Genomic DNA, 18,316 nt, shown 5'->3' with positions numbered 1-18,316 from the left:
CAAACTAAAATATGGATTAAAAAATAAAATTTAAGTACCCACAATAGGTTACACAAAAAAAGAGTAAGAAATTTTGAGATCACATCCTACTTTTTGAGGCTGAGATTAAAACTGTTAACATTGTAGATAAGACTCATTATAATTATATTATTAATGATTTGAGAGTAGTAGATTCAGGCTGGGTGAGGTGGCTCATGCCTGTAATCCTAGCACTTTGGGAGGCTGAATAAAGCGGGTGGATCACTTGAGGTCAGGAGTTAGAGACCAGCCTGACCAACATGGTGAAACACCATCTCTACTAAAAATACAAAAATTAACCAGATGTGGTGTTGTCTGCCTGTAGTCTCAGCTACTGGGGAGGCTGAGGCAGGCGAATCGCTTGAACCTGGGAGGCGGAGGTTGCTGTGAGCTGAGATCACGCCACTCTGGGTGACAGAGTGAGACCCTGTCTCAAAAAAAAAAAAAAAAAAAAGGGCTGGGCATAGTGGCTAACACCTATAATCACAACACTTCGGGAGGCCGAGGCAGGAGGACTGCTTGGGGCCAGGAGTTTGAGCCTAACCTGATCAACATAACAAGACCCTGTCTCTATTAAAATTGAAAAAAGAAAAAGAATAAAAGACCAATTTTTTTTAATTATAAAAGCTAATTCTGCCAGCTACTTATAGTCATAAAAGGTGAATCAACTAATTCAACATGTTCTCTTTAGTAGTCAATTTTTAAAAAGCAAGTATTAATGGGTAGTTTAAACACTTCTGAATACATTACCATTGTAAAGAACAATGTTTAAAATTTACTTTTCAAACTAATGCATGCAGTTTCTCCCCTTTGAAAAACCTAACAGTATTATATGTGGTTTAGAACAATGTAGATAACTTTAAGCCAAGCAACAAATATTTGGGCATTTGCATGGTCTATGAAATAAAATGTTGTAGTAACTCTTGAAAAATTAAAAAGGACTGGTTTTCTTAATAAAATATAAGCATTTAATCAACATAATTTTTTGTGCAAGACCAATTTTGTAAACTGGTATTTTATGTAACATATATTATACTAAACGTTCTTTTGAATAACATACACTTTTATATACATAAGACTAATAATAATAACTGCAGGCAGTTGTTAGTAATTTAACAGCAAAGGTAAAAAAGTATCTACATCTAGGATTAAATGAGTAAAGAGAATTATTTTCTCAGTGTTACTGCAGATTTAGGAAACTCCAACCAATAACTTAGAGCACTGTTTAAAACAACTCAACTTCTTTAGCATTAAATTATATTTTTCATATATTAATTTTTAATTCTAAGTAACTAGATAAACAAGTCATGGCATATACATAGAAATGAACAACTTTGAAGGTATTTTGTGTAACGAGAGGTAATATCTCACTACATCATGACATTAAAAGACGGATTTTATTAATGACACTCAAATATCTGTTATTCAAATAATGCCAGTTGTGTTTATATTCGTGACACACAAAATATGTTATGTAAATGAACACTAACTTTTCTCCATTGCCCCAGGCAAACAAGGTCCCATCCTTACTAAAGATACAGACTTTGCAATTCTTCCCAGATTCCCTGAAAATGACAAAAAAAAAAGGTTTAAATGAATAAGCATTAATACTTTTCAAAAAAATCTGATTATAAAGTCAACCATTTCACTATCAATTTAATAACTAAGAACTTGCACAAATTTCAGAAAATTCCAAAATGCTTTCATCTGCCAAAATACTTTAAAATGCAATGCTATCACTGTAAAGTAAGCTGGAAAATGATTTCATACTAACAGATGGATTTTAAGAAAAAAATAGAGCCCTTTTGGGTGAATAAGTTTGTGTGGTAGGCCTTCCATCAATTTCTCATGTGTAGAGATAGAAAGTATAACAAAAATAAGAGGCTCTTCACCTAACTACTTGGGAATATTCTATCAAGTATTCAAAACTCTAAGTACTGTATCTCCGAAGTGAAGATGTTTACTATGAATACATCACCCAGTGATAATGAATACCCAAATAGAAACTTGTATCTGTGCACATGTAGATGTACATTAGTGTAGTCACAACATGAGATGAGAACTTCCTGGCTAAAAAATAATTTGAATTGCTAAATAACAACAAAAGCATTGAGAACTGACTGATACATCCCTTACACTATCTTTGCATTAATTCATCTGCACAAATGAAGATGACATTTGTGCTTCTGCAATCACACAATAATGACAGCTTACACTCAGTTTATAGATAATAAAACATTTTTAAAATCTCTTTCTCATGGTGCAATGGCTCACACCTGTAATCCCAGCAGTTTGGGAGGCCGAGGCAGGCGGATCACCTGAGGTTGGGAGTTCGAGACCAGCTGGGCAACATGGCGAAACCCTGTCTCTAATAAAAATTCAAAAATTAGCCAGGTGTGGTGGTGGCGCCTGTAGTCCCAGCTACTCAGGACGCTGAGACAGGAGAATTGCTTCAATCCAGGAGGCAGAGGTTGCAGTGAACCCCTGCGCCACTGTCCAGCCTGGGCGAAAGAGTGAGACTCCACCACACAAAAAAATAAAAATAAAAAAAATCTTTCCCACATAAACAGCTATGATCAAGATGTTCCCCATCCTATACTACCCTACACTTATGCAACTCATTTCTGAACCTTACGGCAGAATTTTACAATTATCTTTATTAAATTCCACCCAGGTTTTGGCCTATCATTTCAGCCTACTGAGGCCTACTTAAATCTTGATTTTCTCTTTTAAAACATTAGTCAGTCCTTACATTACATACGGAAGTATGTAATATATAAATTATAAAACTGTTACTAGGCTATCATCTAAATTATTTATAAGACTGTTCAGTGAGCTCTGAACAAGATCCTGTGGCTCACCAACAGTCCTTCCCTCAAATTAAAACTAACTCATTAATCAGCTGACTTTACTGACCTTAACCAATGACAATTCTGTCATCATCATGCAACCCAAAGACTTTCTCATTTCTCAGATATTTTGCCAAAATTATGTTTACAGTTCTATTATTCTAATGTGTATTCTATTATTCTGTCTGGAAATTCTACCCAGAAAGGAAACGAGATAAGCTTGAAACAATTTGTTCTTAGGAAGCTCATTTTGACTTAATAAACACCCCCTTATCGCAATGATTATAAACTTACTAAACTACAGAATCCAGAATTCGATTATTTTCTTGGTCTTGGCAATTGGGAAATTTTGCCTCTTTCCTTCTGGTATAATTTTTTGAATGAAAAATTTCAAACATACACAAAAAATAGAGAAAAAGTATGATAATCCACCTATGCACTCATCATCAAGCTTAAGTAACTATTAACTCAGAGCCAATTTTATCTATTCCCCACTTTTATCTTTCATGCCACAACATTCCAACGCAAAAACTAGATGTCATTATCATATTGCTCTATACTTGATTATGCATCTCTAACCAGTGAGTATATTTTTTTAAAAACATAATCACCACCATGCCACTTCATCTCACAAAATTAACTTCTTAATATCATTTAATACCCAATACTTGGATTGGATATCTGGGTTTTTTAACAGCTCCCCAGGTCATTCTATTGTGCAGCCACATTTGAGAACTACTCATGTAAAAGACTGACTAAATTCTGAGTTTGAAGTTTTTTTAACTTTCGTAGAAGATATGTACAGCACAGTTCCTACTGTATAATAACTCACCAGGAGACACATAAATATCTCTCTGTTCTACTCTTAGTGATACTGAGATTGTACTGGATTCAGTCATGTGCCTCCTTGTATCTACCTAACTCTTCCTGCTGCCACGCCTCAACTATTCAATGAAGAGACCTCATCTCCTAACGCCACTGGTTGTCTTTGAATCTGCAGAGTTAAGGGCCATACTTCCACATGGCTTCCACCATGCACTGCGGCAGCACATGGAGGAGCTCTGGCACTCAGATTCAACCCAAACAGGCTAAGAGGCTGTAGTAAACTTCTTACCCTGTCTCCACACAACAGACTGTTCTGAAGTACAAATGTTCCATACAGCCTTTCTGGAGACAAAAATTTTGCACACATGACCAAGCAAGTTGGCTATATTTTGTGGATTTGTGGTCACCTCAGTATATCCCATCATACTTGCTTTAACTCCTTCCCTGTCTCATTTCCCTTTCTCCCCTACTCCTGCAGCCTTGGGACTGCATACCCTAATGAAGTGTAGCACATAACTTTGCCATAGTTTTTTTTTTGTTTTTTGTTTTTTAAATAGATATGGGGTTTTGCCATACTGCCCAGGCTCATCCTGAACTCCTGGGCTCAAGTGATCCACCCACCTTGGCCTCCCAAAGCGCTGGGATTACAGGCATGAGCCACCGCGCCCAGCCAGACTGGGTTTTCTAGAGTAGTGCTTCTCAAACATTAATGTGCATACATGGCCGGGTGTGGTGGCTCACACCTGTAATCCCAGCACTTTGGGAGGCCAAGGAGGGTGAATCACCTGAGGTCAGAAGTTCGAGACCAGCCTGGCCAACATGGTGAAACCACGTCTCTACTAAAAATAAAAAAATTTAGCCAGGTGTGGTAGCAGGTGCCTATAATCCCAGCTACTTGGGAGGCTGAGGCAGGAGAATCGCTTGAACCCAGGAAGCAGAGGTTGCAGTGAGCCGAGATTGTACCATTGCACTCCAGCCTGGGCAACAAGAGTGAAACTCCATCTCAAAAAAAATAAATAAATAAGTAAATAAATAAATAATGTGCATACAGGCCAGGCATGGTGGCTGAGGCCTGTAATCCCAGCACTTTGGGAGGCCAAGGCGGTTGGATCTCTTGAGCCCAGGAGTTGGAGAGCAGCCTGGGCAACATAGTGAGACCCCCATCTCTACAAAACATACAAAAATTAGCCAGGCATGGTGGCATGCGCCTATAGTCCCAGCTACTTGGGATACTGAGGCAGGAGTATTGTTTGAGCCTGGGAGATTGAGGCTACAGTGGGCCATGATTACACCACTCCATTCTAGCCTGGGCAGCAGAGCAAGACTCTGGAAAAAAAAAAGTGCATATAAATCATCTGAAGATCTAGCTAAAATACAGATTCTGATTCAGTAAGTTGGGTAGGGCCTGAGATGCATTTCTGTACTGGCTCAGGAGTGATGCCAATATAGTTGGTCTTGGTTGGGCCCATGCTTCCTGTAGCAAGGTTCTAGAGAACTGGGCCTAATAAAAATTGGTCAGTAGAGTCAGATGACAACAGCCTGATTATAAAGTTCCCCATTAACAGTCATCAAACAGTTCAGCTAAAGGTTTCAGCATCTTTTGATGATCATCTGCCTAGATCAGTGGTTCTTAAAGGGGGGTCCCCAGATTTGCAGCATCAGTATCACTGGGGAATTTGTTAAAAATGCAAATTATTGGGCCCTACCGCTGATCTAATGAATCCGAACATTTGGAAAGAGAGCTGCAATCTGGATTTTAACGAGCTTTTCAGATGATTCTGATGCTTGGTAAAGTTTGAGAACCAGTGGCCTAGATCCATTTCTTGAGGATTACAAAATGGTAATTGTCTGATCCAGCATCCATTCTCCATTTATTAACTGGAATTCGTCTATAAAATTCTTTTTCTCATCAACCACTTGGTTACTCTGAGAAACAGTTTGTATAAGAAAGGCAAGATAAATGCTTGACTCCTTCCCTTTATTTATCAATTTTCAAAGTAATGAGTGAGGACTCCATCAACCACCAATGCTGACCAGTTAGGTTTAAACGGAGGGGGGATTTTTCGGGGGAGCATTTATATACTTGACATGCTTTATCTTTCTATTCATAATTCTTAATGTTCCCATCTTAGGTTGGTGTGAATCTCTTCAAGTTGCTTCCTACGACCCTTTAACAAAATCTCATTAGTCTTTTATAGCTTTGCTTTCTGGCACAAAAGTTGCTACCTCAACTTGTACATTTTCTGTCCCAGACCTAGAGTTGACCACTTCTCCAAGGAAGTGGTTCCTTTTAGTGAAGAATTGTATTTAGAGATCACAATCTGTGAGGATGGGGTATTCACTGCTACTGTGTTATCACTGCTTCCAGGCCTTTTCATTGGCCAGAACTAGGAAATGCAAATGTTTTATGAAAGGAAATCATGAGTTCATACTGATATAGGCAAGTCTATCTTTTCACTCTAATGCTGAAAAATCTTGGTGCCTAACAACATTAATACAATTAATTTACTCTATCCTATAGTAGATTCAAATGACAATATCAACTTTCAGTTAAAAAGAAAACTATTAGGCCAGGCATGGTGGCTCACGTCTGTAATCCCAGCACTTTGGGAGGATGAGACAGGTGGATCACCTGAGGTCAGGAGTTTGAGACTAGCCTGGCCAACACGGTGAAACTCTGTCACTACTACAAATACAAAAAAATTAGCCAGGCATGGTGGCAGGCACCTGTAATCCCACCTACTTGGGAGGCTGAGGCAGGAGAATCGCTTGAACCTGGGGGGCAGAGGTTGCATTAAGCCGAGATTGCACCACTGCACTCTAGCCTGGGCAACAAGGGCAAAACTCAGTCTCAAAAAAAAAGAATTTTGCAGGTCTTCACATGGTTATGCCACCAACCTGATATAAAGCTAGAATCACTTATTTTAGTTTCCCAATTTTTTTTTTTTTTTTTTTTGAGACGGAGTCTCATCTTTTTGCCCAGGCTGGAGTGCAATGCCCTGATTTTGGCTCACTGCAACCTCCACCTCCGGGTTTCAAGCGATTCTGCTGCATCAGCCTCCCGAGTAGAGTAGCTGGGATTACAGGCGCCTGCCCCCACACCCGGCTAATTTTTGTATTTTTAGCCGAGATGGGGTTTTGCCATGTTGGCCAGGCTGGTCTTGAACTCCTGACCTCAGGTGATCTGGCCTGCCTTGGCCTCCCATAGTGCTGGGATTACAGGCGTGAGCCACCGGGCCCAGCTTTTAATTTAATTTTTAAATTTAAAACAATTATATGGTCCAAAGTCAAAACTATACCAAAGCTCTTTCACAGATGTGTCCCCTGCATCCTGTAACTCTCTCCCCCGCATTCTGTAACTCTCTCCCCCTATAGATAAGCATTTTTAACTAGTTTTTGGTTTACTTGTCCATTGTTTCTTTGGGGAAAAAAAAATTAATCTAGCTAGCTATATACTATGTGCATATATATGTCCTCCCTTTTTAATATCTTTTTCATTATGATTTCACTAAGATTACTGGCCATGATTTGGCTATCAAATTTGCAAGTTTTTCTCATTCCTTAAGATACAACTCTTGTAAAATAAAGGCTTGTATTCAATTACACTAGTGTCTACACTTTTTCTTAGTATTGTTCCCCCTACCTTATAAATAGGCTTAAGTTACTATTTTCAGATCTGAAGATCATTTTCCTTGATAGAGAATATGTATTCTTTTCATCTTCGGTAAATATTATACAATAAAAATGAGTTCATCTGTTCTTTTCCTTTCTTGTTCAAAATACACCACCAACAAAACCATTTTAGATTGTACTGTATGTTCCCTATAACATTACTTAACAAAATAAATCATACCTTGGAAACACTGTGCTTTCTGTAAAATGTGGTGGTCCATTCACCATGTACAGTCCTTCTGATCCTCGGACTAAAGAAGTAAAATAAAAAGAACCACAATTACTTTGTTAATAAAGACTCAGTTAACACAAATGTGTTTTTTAAAAAAGCAGCTTTAGTCAAAATATTAATGAAATCATTAAATATTTCATTGAACTATAGAATATTAGCAACAAAAGGGCATATTTTCTTACTCTGTTACATAAAATCATATAATTGCTGAGAAATACGTAACTTTTTAAATAAAACTCGAAACTTTGTCACCACTGAAAGAAAGGCAGCTGTCTTGTGGTAAAGAGGACATGAATTCAGAGCCTGACCTAAGTTTATAACTGCCTGTGGAACCTTGGATACGTTACCACCTCTGAATCTGTGACCTAATCTGTAAAATGGAAATATCAGAACACAGGATAGCTGTATGCTTTATATAAAGTAATAAAAAAAGTATATGTTTAAAGTTTTTAGAAATATAAGGCAATATTAATATATTCACAATTTATCAAACTAAGAGAACAAGTGGAATGAGACATATTCATTTATTAAGGCCCCAATGACAGTAATAGCCTAAAAAATTAAGTGGAAACAAAGTTCAAGATTAAATAATCATCTACAGAACTAGACTATACTTCTTATTTCTATGTTTAAATTTATTTATTTTTTTGAGACAGGGTCTTGCTGTCACCCAGGCTGGAGTACAGTGGCATGATCAAGGCTCACTGCAACTTCAAACTCCTGGACTTAAGTGATGCTCCTGGCTCAGTTTCCCAAGTAGCTGGGACTACAGGCATGTGCCACCCTGCTTGGCTATTTTTTTTTTTTGTAGAGACAGAGTCTCACTGTTGCCCAGGCTGATCTCTAACTCCTGGGCTAAGGCAATCCTCCCTCCTCAGCCTCACAAAGTGCTGAGATTACAGGTGTGAGCCACCGCACCTAGCCTAGACTATACTTTTTTAAATGGTTGAATTAAATGCTTCTAAAGCTGAACCAAATAAATAGATTCATTTAGTCAACAAATGCTTAGTGGGAAAAAAACGAACAAACTACCTCCTAGGCCCTGTGTTGAACATTGGCGAAATAATAGGAAAGAAAATCAGCCTTGTCTCTGACCTCATTGAACTTTGCAAACAGTAATCAAATAATTGGCCAAATATACGGAATCATATACCTGTGTTTAGTCCTTCAAAGGAAAGGTATATGGTACCACTGAGGGTATAAAAGAGAGTTTTAACCTAAAAATGGAAGGTTAGGGAAAGCATCCTTAAGTGTTTTGTATACTGAGATGTAAAGGATCAATGGCAGTTAACAAGCAAGGAGAACAGTTAACAAGTGCAAAAACCCCATGGAAAGAAAAACGACAGAGCGTCAAGGGGATGGAAAGAAGGCCTGTGTGGCTAGAGGATGATGAAGCTGGAAAACAAAATAGGGCTCAGGCTAGGCGTGGTGGCTCACACCTGTAATCCCAGTACTTTGGGAGGCCGAGGCAGGCAGATGGCTTGAGCCCAGGAATTCAAGACCAGCCTGGGCAACATAGGGAGATGCTGTCTCTACAAAAATTAGCTGGGCACGGTGGCACATGCCTGTAGTCCCAGCTATTCGCACGGCTGAGGCAGGAGGATCACCTGGACTTGGGAAGTCAAGGCCACAGTGAACCATGATCATGTCACCCACCACCAAGCCATGTTAAGTTTTATATTTCTTGTAGAGACGAGGTTTCACTACATTGCCTAGGCTGGTCTTAAACTCCTCAGCTCAAGCAATCCAATCTGCTTCCCTCAGCCTTCCAAAGTGCTGGGATTACAGCTGTAAGCCACCTGGCCCAAACTGACATTTTGTACTTCTAAGATGCCTTGCTAGATTTAATTAGTTTTTCTATTAAATAAATTTAATAAAAGCATATACAGTTTAATTTACTCCTGATAAGCTGTGATACAAAGTTTATTAGAAAAAAACACAAAATCAGGTCCATAACAGAACATAAACTGTTTTAAACTAATAAAAGCAAAAATAAATAGGGACTAAAAAACTTCTCAATACTGAAACAATTTTTTTCTACATGTAACTTTCTAACAAGGAATCCTTTTTAGTTACAAGTATCTGTGAAACTAAATACAATGCGTAGTTAGCTTAATATAGTGTATTCTGAGTTTGTGTGATTCCCTGTTTTTAGTGATTTCCCTCTTCAATCAAATGGGATTGGCAATATGTTCTAGCAGAAAGAAAAATCTAGAATGCAAGCAGTTCTTTTAAGACAACAAATAAACGCCAGTTTCACACAGTAGCTGTGTGAAATACATTAAACATCTACATAATCTTTTCCAAGCTTACTAGCCTTTTTAGACATTCATATACTATTTATTGCTCTAGGCCTGAGTTAGAGAGAGAAAAACACAGGGCTTCAATAAACAAGGATCCCATGGCAGGGGTGTAGTCATCTTTAAAATACGATACTTTTCCCAACTCTTACATTCACTGAACTATGTATTAGTTTAGGAAAATCACTCAATTTTGAATAAATTATCTCTGTGACTTCAACTGGTCAAGCAGATTAGACAATGTGAATTTCACGTAATGGACATTGCTGTTTTATGTGCCTAGCAACCAGCTCCTCTTCTTTAGGAGGCGCTCATTTTCTTTTGAGGAGTATCGAGGAGTGGGAAGATAATTTAGTCCTGACTACATGATTAAAAGTTGACTGATACAAAGGTGAGCCAAGCAAAGTCAAAGGCAGCTAGCCTTGAGATTTTTGCTGAGACTACTGGCAAAAATGTGTTCTTTCCTTTGGAGCTGGGCATTTGGTTGAATGTCAGTTTAAAGATGAATTTAATCTGGAGGAAAGCAAGAACCTACAGATGAAGAAAAACAGATTTCTGGCCAGGCATGGTGGCTCACACCTGTAATCCCAGCACTTTGGGAGGCAGAGGCGTGTGGCTCACCCGAGGACAGGCGTTCAAGACCAACCTGACCAACTTGGTGAAACCCCAACTCTACTAAAAATACAAAATTAGCTGGGCGTGGTGGTGCACGCCTGTAATCCCAGCTACTCAGGAGGCTGAGGCAGAAGAATTGCTTGCACTTGGGAGGTGGAGGTTGCAGCGAGCCAAGATCGCGCCATTGCACTCCAGCCTGGGCAACAAGAGCGAAACTATCTCAAAAAAAAAAAAAAAGAAAGAAAGAAAGAAAGAAAAACAGATTTCTGAAGCCATGTGAGTATCTGGATCTAGCAGTACTGAGGCTTTTAGGTTATACGAGTTTAAAAAAAAAAATCCCTTTTTCACCTGCTTTGGCTTGTCACTCCCAATTAAGAGTTGGGGTTAACAAAATTTACTGGCTAATCTGCAAATTATTCACAGCTCTAAAATCCCACGAGTCTAAATTTAACAAAAGATTTTGGAAGTAAAATAATCTATTGTTGAATGAAATATGTACACTGAGAATGTTTAAAAGATTAAACAGTTTGTTCTAGTGAAAGAAAAATGGACCACAGAGTTGAACAATCTGAATAAGTATAATCCTAATCCTGCCAATTTGCAGTGTGAATCGGACCACTTAATCTCTCTGGGCCTCTAAGAATATGAGAATATGAAGAGTAGACTGAACAGACAACATTTAAGCTCTTACAAAGTCCCTGATTTTAAGCACTGTAAGACAATTGTCATCCTTGGTTAATTTACTATAAAGTGGCTATCCTTCATTAATTTAAAAGGATAGTCTAAACAGACAAATCTAATCTAGATCTCTTGTATGCACAGTTCAAAATAGGGTTTGCGCTCTTATGAGGCTCTAATGCCCCCACTGATCTGACAGGAGGGGAAGCTCAAGTGGTAATGCTTGCCCAGTACCAGTCCGGCCCAGGGGGTTGGGGACCCCTGATTTAGAGTATCTATTGTCTACCAGGCACTGCACTAGTACTGAGAAGACAGATATGAATAAGACCCTGTCGCTGACATTGAAGGACTCACAGTCTAGCAGGGGAGAAAGGCAAGTGAATGTCTAATTATCCTACTTAGTAAGTGAAATAAAATTTCAAATATATTTCAGGTACAAAAATAGCCCAGGAAGTGACTGACTCTATCTGGGTAGAGTGACGAAAGGCTTCACAGAGCAATGATATCTAAAATGAATTTTAATTTCAACAGATGAAAAAGAGTTTGCCAAATCAACAAGAGGCATAGGATAGTACTAGACTGAAGAAACAGGTTGTTCAAAGGGACTCAGAAGCAGTTCAGTATTGATGGAGCACCAAATAAGATGGGATGGCAAGGAAATAAATGAGTCTCAAGAGCAATTCAAAGATTATAAATGGTTACATAACTATGCTACATAGGATGGAATCTACCCTGTAAGCAGAGAGGAACTACCTACTGTAGGCATTTTTAAAGGAGGGGTTATTTATCAGATTTTAGAATGTAATTTTTTCATTAGAGTTCAAATAAGCATTTAGTATTAAAAATTGTGAATAACAAGCTACCTTTACAAACCTAAAAAAAAATTTATTATGTAACTTTGCCTTTTAAACAGTCTTTGCCTGGTATATTATCTAGAAGATTATACTCGGCGTTTGATAAATGATGACTAAACTGCAGAAGACAGACTGAGCATCAGTGGGCATGGCGCTTAATAACAAAGATTTTAAAATGTAAAAATAGAAATGTAGACTGGCAAAAAGTGCAAAAATGTTTTAAGGTTCCTTTCGCGGGGGGGAAGGGAGGGAATAGCCTCCCTCCTTAAATGCAGACAACCTTTCTCTTAATGACTTTTTCCTTCTATATAGTTATCAGAACTTAACCAAAACCTTCTTTTCCTTCCCGACTCTCTTTTCCTTACGTAATACTCATATGCAGACTCTTAGCCACACCCTAGTAAAGCAACTTCCCCAGCATTTTCCAATCTAAGTTTATTATCTCCTCCAACACTACAGTCTTTAGCTTCAAAATTTCAAGAGTCCTCTAATGTTCTATTTCTAATATGCTCATAACCATTTCAAAATCAAATGTTGCTAGAATATCTCTATCATGCTCACTGCTACACCCTCTCCCAACCACACCTTCATCATTTGAAACCTGCATTACAGCTCCACTCTCCCTATTCAGTCCTACAAACCTCATTAAGGCAGGAAGGCCAGAATCTGGAATTACTTAAGTCCAGGTGTATTTAAAGTGCGTGATCATTCTAGAGGACTAACTCATGTTTGTCTTTGTTCTTATTGTAGACCTAAATGACTTCACAAGGGCCCGTGTAACACCAGTATTGCAGACCCATGTGTCACAAATTCAACTAGCACATTGTTTTTCTCCCCCTTCTTCTATTTCTGTAGAAGATGAATCCGCAGGCAAGAATGATGGATGGGTGAAAGGGAGGGGGAATACGAAAGCCCAGAGGCGGAGACTTCACTTCCGATTGCCACGCTATATCAAGAAAGCCAACAGTCTGGCCTTTCCGCAAGCCACAAGAAAAGGCAGATCAGACTCCCCGGCTCCTCGGGTAGTTCTCAAAGGCAAAGACAAAAATAAGAAACTAGTCTGAAGAAAGAGAGTCCCTCGCTTCTTCAGAACTCACCTGTCAAGAGCGGCGTGGACGGCGCCATGTTGTCCCGGAAAGAGAAACCGCTCGGGTGAGAGTTCACCAGGGCCGAACCCGGCCCCTACACGTCTCCTCATGCGTGGAGACAGCGAATTGGTGTTTCCGGAGCCATCAGCCTCGGGGCCAATTCACTTCCGGTTACGGAGTGACGCGGAAAAGGCGCCCAAACGCGCACGCGCAAATCTAGGGCGACGCTTGACAGAGCTTGGGAGGGTGCGCCTGCTTTCGCCCTCCTTCTCCAGCGGGAGGGGCGCGCACTTCCGCGGGGCGGAGTCCGTCTAGTGCTGACGTTGGCAGCCGAACCCAAAGTAGATCGAGGCGGCGGGCTGCACATTCCCGTTGTTGCGTTGCGTTTCCTTCCTCTTTCACTCCGCGCTCACGGCGGCGGCCAAAGCGGCGGCGACGGCGGCGCGAGAACGACCCGGCGGCCAGTTCTCTTCCTCCTGCGCACCTGCCCCGCTCGGTCAGTCAGTCGGCGGCCGGCGCCCGGCTTGTGCTCAGACCTCGCGCTTGCGGCGCCCAGGCCCAGCGGCCGTAGCTAGCGTCTGGCCTGAGAACCTCGGCGCTCCGGCGGCGCGGGCACCACGAGCCGAGCCTCGCAGCGGCTCCAGAGGAGGCAGGCGAGTGAGCGAGTCCGAGGGGTGGCCGGGGCAGGTGGTGGCGCCGCGAAGATGGTCGCCAAGCAAAGGATCCGTATGGCCAACGAGAAGCACAGCAAGAACATCACCCAGCGCGGCAACGTCGCCAAGACCTCGGTAAGGAAAGAGCGGGCGCCCCTCTGCGTTCCGCAGCCGGAGCTGAGTCCGGGTCCCTGGGGCCGCGTCGCGTTTTCTCCCGGATCCGGCCGACCGTGGGCTGGTGCCGTGGAGGGGTAGGGGCCCGAGTCTGCGAACCGCCAGACTGTGGGGGCTCGGGAACGGAAGGGGAGACCTGTGAGGTGAGGGGGCCGGCGACCGGCGTGCAGGCGTGGGAGCCTGGGGTCCGAGTGGTTTCTCTGCATCTGAAATGGTGGATTTTCGCTTTTGCAGAGAAATGCCCCCGAAGAGAAGGCGTCTGTAGGACCCTGGTTATTGGCTCTCTTCATTTTTGTTGTCTGTGGTTCTGGTAAGTGGCTTGGGGGCTCCCATCAGGTAGAGTCTTGGGTTGAAAGGATTTGGGATGACGTGGTGACCGGTCAGTAGTGAGTCCTACCTGCGTAGTTCTCAACCCACCTGCCGAGGACTCCACATAATTCTGTTTCGTCTGAACCAAATTACTTGTTCCACATATGCACAGAGGGTGGTGCTCCAGAAACTTCTCCCAGCTTAATTTGTACTCACAGGAGATCAAAAAGGAGGTCAGGTCTTGGTAATGATCCAGTTGGAATAAATGTTAAGACCGGACAAAACCTAACGAAATGAGAATTTAGAATGTTTTGTAACTCCATTATCAGTCTTTGCAAAGAAAATTATAAATATGTACTATAGATGTTAGAACTTGATTTAACATATACCAGAATCTAATGTCTTAATGTCAAAATTGAGTATATTTTATAAAATAAAGCTTGTGCAAAGAATTGATTCACTATAGAGGAAATTACCTGATTGGCATTTTAATGTGTGAGTCAAATGTTTTTAGGTTAATAAAAGAAACGTTTGATACATGGTTTAAAAAAAAAGTGTCGGGGTAGCCTGCTGTCCCCTAAGAGTAACAGACACTTGCCTTTGCAAATAGATTACAAAAAAAAGGTCTTTCCTCTCTTCATTTATCATTTTAATATGCAAGCTGTTAATATTGAAGTAGATGTTTGTTTTCCACATTCTAAAATTACTGAGATTTCTGTTTAACGTTTCACTTTGCCTTTCTTCTTCACTTACCAATTGGAAGCTTTCCTGATAAATGGATGAGAGCCAAGCAGTTTATATAACCTGAAGATGATTGAATTTCAGCTTTGTGAGAATGAGGAAACATGCATGTGTTACAGGCCAGGCCTTAAAAGGATGCTTATAAACCAAAATAATTCTATGCTGGAAAAACCTGTTGGCTTTGGTGCTTTAAGTTCTTTGTAAAATGATTACTTATCTGCAAGTTCTCTTGGATACTTAGACATAAAGTTCAGCGAAGCTAAGATAAAAAAATAACTCAGGGATATTTCATTGTTTTATTTATTCAGACAGGCCTGTCTTCACTTCTTATTATACTGAAGTTATGTACCATTTGCAAATGTAAGAGTACCTTTGGATTCTTCAGCTACCTTAATAAATATTTGTTAGACACCAGACCTATTTTATTCAAAGCTTATTTTAATATTTGCTCTTTCTTTTTACAGCAATTTTCCAGATTATTCAAAGTATCAGGATGGGCATGTGAAGTGACTGACCTTAAGATGTTTCCATTCTCCTGTGAATTTTAACTTGAACTCATTCCTGATGTTTGATACCCTGGTTGAAAACAATTCAGTAAAGCATCCTGCCTCAGAATGACTTTCCTATCATGCTTCATGTGTCATTCCAAGGTTTCTTCATGAGTCATTCCAAGTTTTCTAGTCCATACCACAGTGCCTTGCAAAAAACACCACATGAATAAAGCAATAAAATTTGATTGTTAAGATACAGTAGTGGACCCTACTTATTCAGTCAATTAAGAGTAAGTTTTTTTATGTGGTTATTAAAACAGTATGAACAATTAGTCTAACTCTGCATAGACAGGGTCTAGATTTTGTTAACCCAAATGTATAACTGCAGTTAGCTTAAATTACAATTTGAAGTCTTGTGGTTTTTATATAGCTAGGCACTTTATTACTCTTTTGAACTGAAAGCACACTCCCTTATAGGTTCATGTAACTGTCCTGTAATAAGGTGCTTATAAATGGAACAACTACACAGCCTAGTTTTGCCACAACCTTTAGCATCTAAAAAGTTTTAAAAGCTTCTAAATGTCTAATATAAAGGGAGATGCTTATAGCCACAACATCTATTTTACCAATATTGTTTCCATTACACTACCTTGGATTTTGCATGAGTGAGTATAGTAACCCAAGATGCCATAAAAAAAAAACTTGATCGTTTTCTGACTTAATCAGTTACTGTGGTTTCACTAAAAGCTACCGTGGTGGAGTGAAGTCAGTCAGGGAAGGTTTGTTTATGTTACATTTATTTCACCAGAACTATTTTAATATATCAAAGGGGTTTACTATGCCAAACAAAATTCTAGGGAAAAATACTGCTAAAAATGGATGCCTCATCAGAACATGCTGTTGAGTCCAATGTGCCATAAGACATTTTAGCATGTTAAATAGCACTTTTAATAGCAAAAAAAGGCACATCAACTGCGAAGTTATCCTTAGTTTGCAAATGCTTTTTCTAGATTAATGATTTTTCAATCATTAGGGTACTAGACACATCAGCCTAAAGTGGCATCTGGAATTGAATGGATTTACTGATAATGATCAGTCTTTAGTCTTCCCTTTGTTATATGACTTTATAGGTTATGATTGATCAAATTTACGTTTTACTAATGGTAAGGGTGAGGGTCATAGGGCAGGTTTTGGGTTTTCTAGTACTGTTGAAAACTGCAAGTATTGGCTATTTGTATACTTAGCCATAACTTGGTGAAAAAAAACCTGAGCAGTGTCTATGTATTAATGCGTTGGAAAGAAAGCTGCTTGTGTTTGCTTTGTTAATTGCCTCAGGATATTTCTTTTAAAATAAGCTGTTTTAAGAGGAACAGAAGGGAAATCTGCTACCTAGTCTATACACAGCGTGAACCTCACAGGGGGCTTCTGATACCCTCAAACATGGAGAACAGTAAGGGAGCAGAGTGGTTAAGGACTTTCAGGAACTTAACTATTCTGGAATAAGGAATGAATCAACTGACCTTGGGCCAGCAGGTTTTTAACTAAATTGTTACTTGCCTTTCTCACCCAGTTAATCAGTCTCTGTACTTGTTTCCCTTTTTGAAACAAGTGTCTTGGTTAACTAATTCTGTTTTATGGTTGTGCTAAATTCATAGCAGGTGCCTTATTCTTTGCTTTTAGTCAAACCATTCCATATCAGAATTTTCCTTGGTTTACTATAGATATTTGGCTTTAAGTTGTTGTTTGTGTTTTTTAATGTACAATGTTCTGATAAATTTGACTGTTAAATTGCTATAGCTAGCAATCATTTTACATATGTAAAATTGCATTCCCTTTGTATTTCATGTGTAATTCACCAATTAAGTGCAGTTTATATTCAGGTTGGATTATGCATGTTTAGGTAAACGAAAGCTGTGTCTTACTTGATTTATTCTTTAAAAATAAAGTTCCCTGAATATTTGATGCTTTTCTTCTAAACGGAAATGATTTTACAGTTATCTGAGTGTACCTTTTATAGTTAGTAGAAAATGATTTTAAAGAATGTTTAGTATTGTACTTAAATGGTATGCAGAGGCACAGATGTAAGGTTTATAACTGGAAATAGGTGGTAAGAAAAATATATAGAAAGCACAATGATTTGAATATTTTTCCACTTAGGATTTCCTAATCTCCTTGTCATCCAATTCAAGCTCAAGATGAAGCACAATTCTTTGATCTCCCTTTGCCAGTTGAATTTTATAGATCATCTAATGTTGAGCACAGTATGAGAATAAATATTGGGGTTGTCAACATTACTCAGTTACTCTTTGTGGTTTAACTCTAACATTTCAACAAGTTGTCAATTAATTGTATCTGTTGGGTTGTATATAATGTTGCTCAAAATAATTAAGTGGACTTCCAAAAATAAGATTTCCATTGTAACAGGATGCATTGTGATGGGCTTTGACTTACATTAAAGAAATGTGGATAGTCAACTGCAGGGCCATGACTCTTCTCACTGAGGTTACTGGAGTTCTGTTGGTACAAAGGACAACCATGGAGAGCTGGATTATGTTCCTGGGCTTAGTAGGTTCACCAGCAAAACTTTATTATGCTTCATTTGTGAAACTTAGAGCATCAGATTCTCCATTTAGAAATTGTTCTTAAGTTTGATTTGCCTTTACTTGCCTTTGTAGTTTTTAAATTTATTTTTTAGATGCAAACCGTAACTTCAAGAGGTAGGAGTTGATTGGCTTCAACAGCAAACTCTATGGCACTCCCTCAGAGAAGCATTTCCTGTCTAAACTTACTTAGTACCACAGTAGCTACTTGTACTAC

The 18,316-nt window shown here is 39.4% G+C and overlaps 2 protein-coding genes across 8 annotated transcripts in view, besides 4 other annotated features; one reads left to right on the top strand and one right to left on the bottom strand.

Moving 5' to 3' along the window:
- Positions 1–13,184, bottom strand: part of EIF2A (eukaryotic translation initiation factor 2A) — a 39,230-nt gene extending 26,046 nt beyond the window's left edge. For 5 of the 7 annotated variants that reach the window (NM_032025.5, XM_011513224.3, NM_001319046.2 and 2 more), the window contains exons 1-3: positions 13,141–13,184; positions 7,546–7,615; positions 1,509–1,583 (exon numbers count right to left, since the gene is read on the bottom strand). In NM_032025.5, coding sequence (NP_114414.2) covers positions 1,509–1,583; positions 7,546–7,615; positions 13,141–13,168 — 173 coding nt within the window. In that variant the 5' untranslated portion in view covers positions 13,169–13,184. The remainder of the gene's footprint in view (positions 1–1,508; positions 1,584–7,545; positions 7,616–13,140) is intronic. The other 2 variants (NM_001319043.2, XM_047449054.1) reach the window with 1 other exon arrangement.
- Positions 12,689–13,888: an enhancer, noted in NCBI's record as "CDK7 strongly-dependent group 2 enhancer chr3:150263870-150265069 (GRCh37/hg19 assembly coordinates)". NCBI's record gives its function as "activates an origin of replication core promoter dependent on BRD2, BRD4, P300/CBP, MED14 and CDK7 cofactors, with strong dependence on CDK7, by STARR-seq in HCT116 cells {active_cell/tissue: HCT116}" and the evidence as "EXISTENCE:reporter gene assay evidence [ECO:0000049][PMID:35650434]".
- Positions 12,689–13,964: a biological region, named in NCBI's record as "CDK7 strongly-dependent group 2 enhancer GRCh37_chr3:150263870-150265069".
- Positions 12,877–13,416: an enhancer, noted in NCBI's record as "active region_20687". NCBI's record gives its function as "activates an Ori minimal core promoter by ATAC-STARR-seq in GM12878 lymphoblastoid cells {active_cell/tissue: GM12878}" and the evidence as "EXISTENCE:reporter gene assay evidence [ECO:0000049][PMID:35858748]".
- Positions 13,334–13,964: an enhancer, noted in NCBI's record as "NANOG-H3K27ac-H3K4me1 hESC enhancer chr3:150263794-150264424 (GRCh37/hg19 assembly coordinates)". NCBI's record gives its function as "activates a minimal SCP1, AML or CMV promoter by ChIP-STARR-seq in naive H9 embryonic stem cells {active_cell/tissue: H9 hESC(naive)}" and the evidence as "EXISTENCE:reporter gene assay evidence [ECO:0000049][PMID:30033119]".
- SERP1 (stress associated endoplasmic reticulum protein 1) lies at positions 13,475–17,973 on the top strand. Its single transcript, NM_014445.4, has 3 exons — positions 13,475–13,919; positions 14,193–14,268; positions 15,473–17,973. The coding sequence occupies exons 1-3, from the start codon at positions 13,836–13,838 to the stop codon at positions 15,511–15,513; spliced, it is 201 nt and encodes a 66-aa protein (NP_055260.1). The 5' UTR covers positions 13,475–13,835; the 3' UTR covers positions 15,514–17,973.
- Positions 17,974–18,316: the final 343 nt, after the last annotated feature.

The sequence above is a fragment of the Homo sapiens genome, chromosome 3 (genome assembly GCF_000001405.40).
Source record: "Homo sapiens chromosome 3, GRCh38.p14 Primary Assembly".
Lineage (NCBI taxonomy): Eukaryota > Metazoa > Chordata > Mammalia > Primates > Hominidae > Homo > Homo sapiens.
The sequence above is the reverse complement of the archived record's forward strand: the minus strand, read 5'-3'. Positions and strand labels throughout refer to the sequence as shown.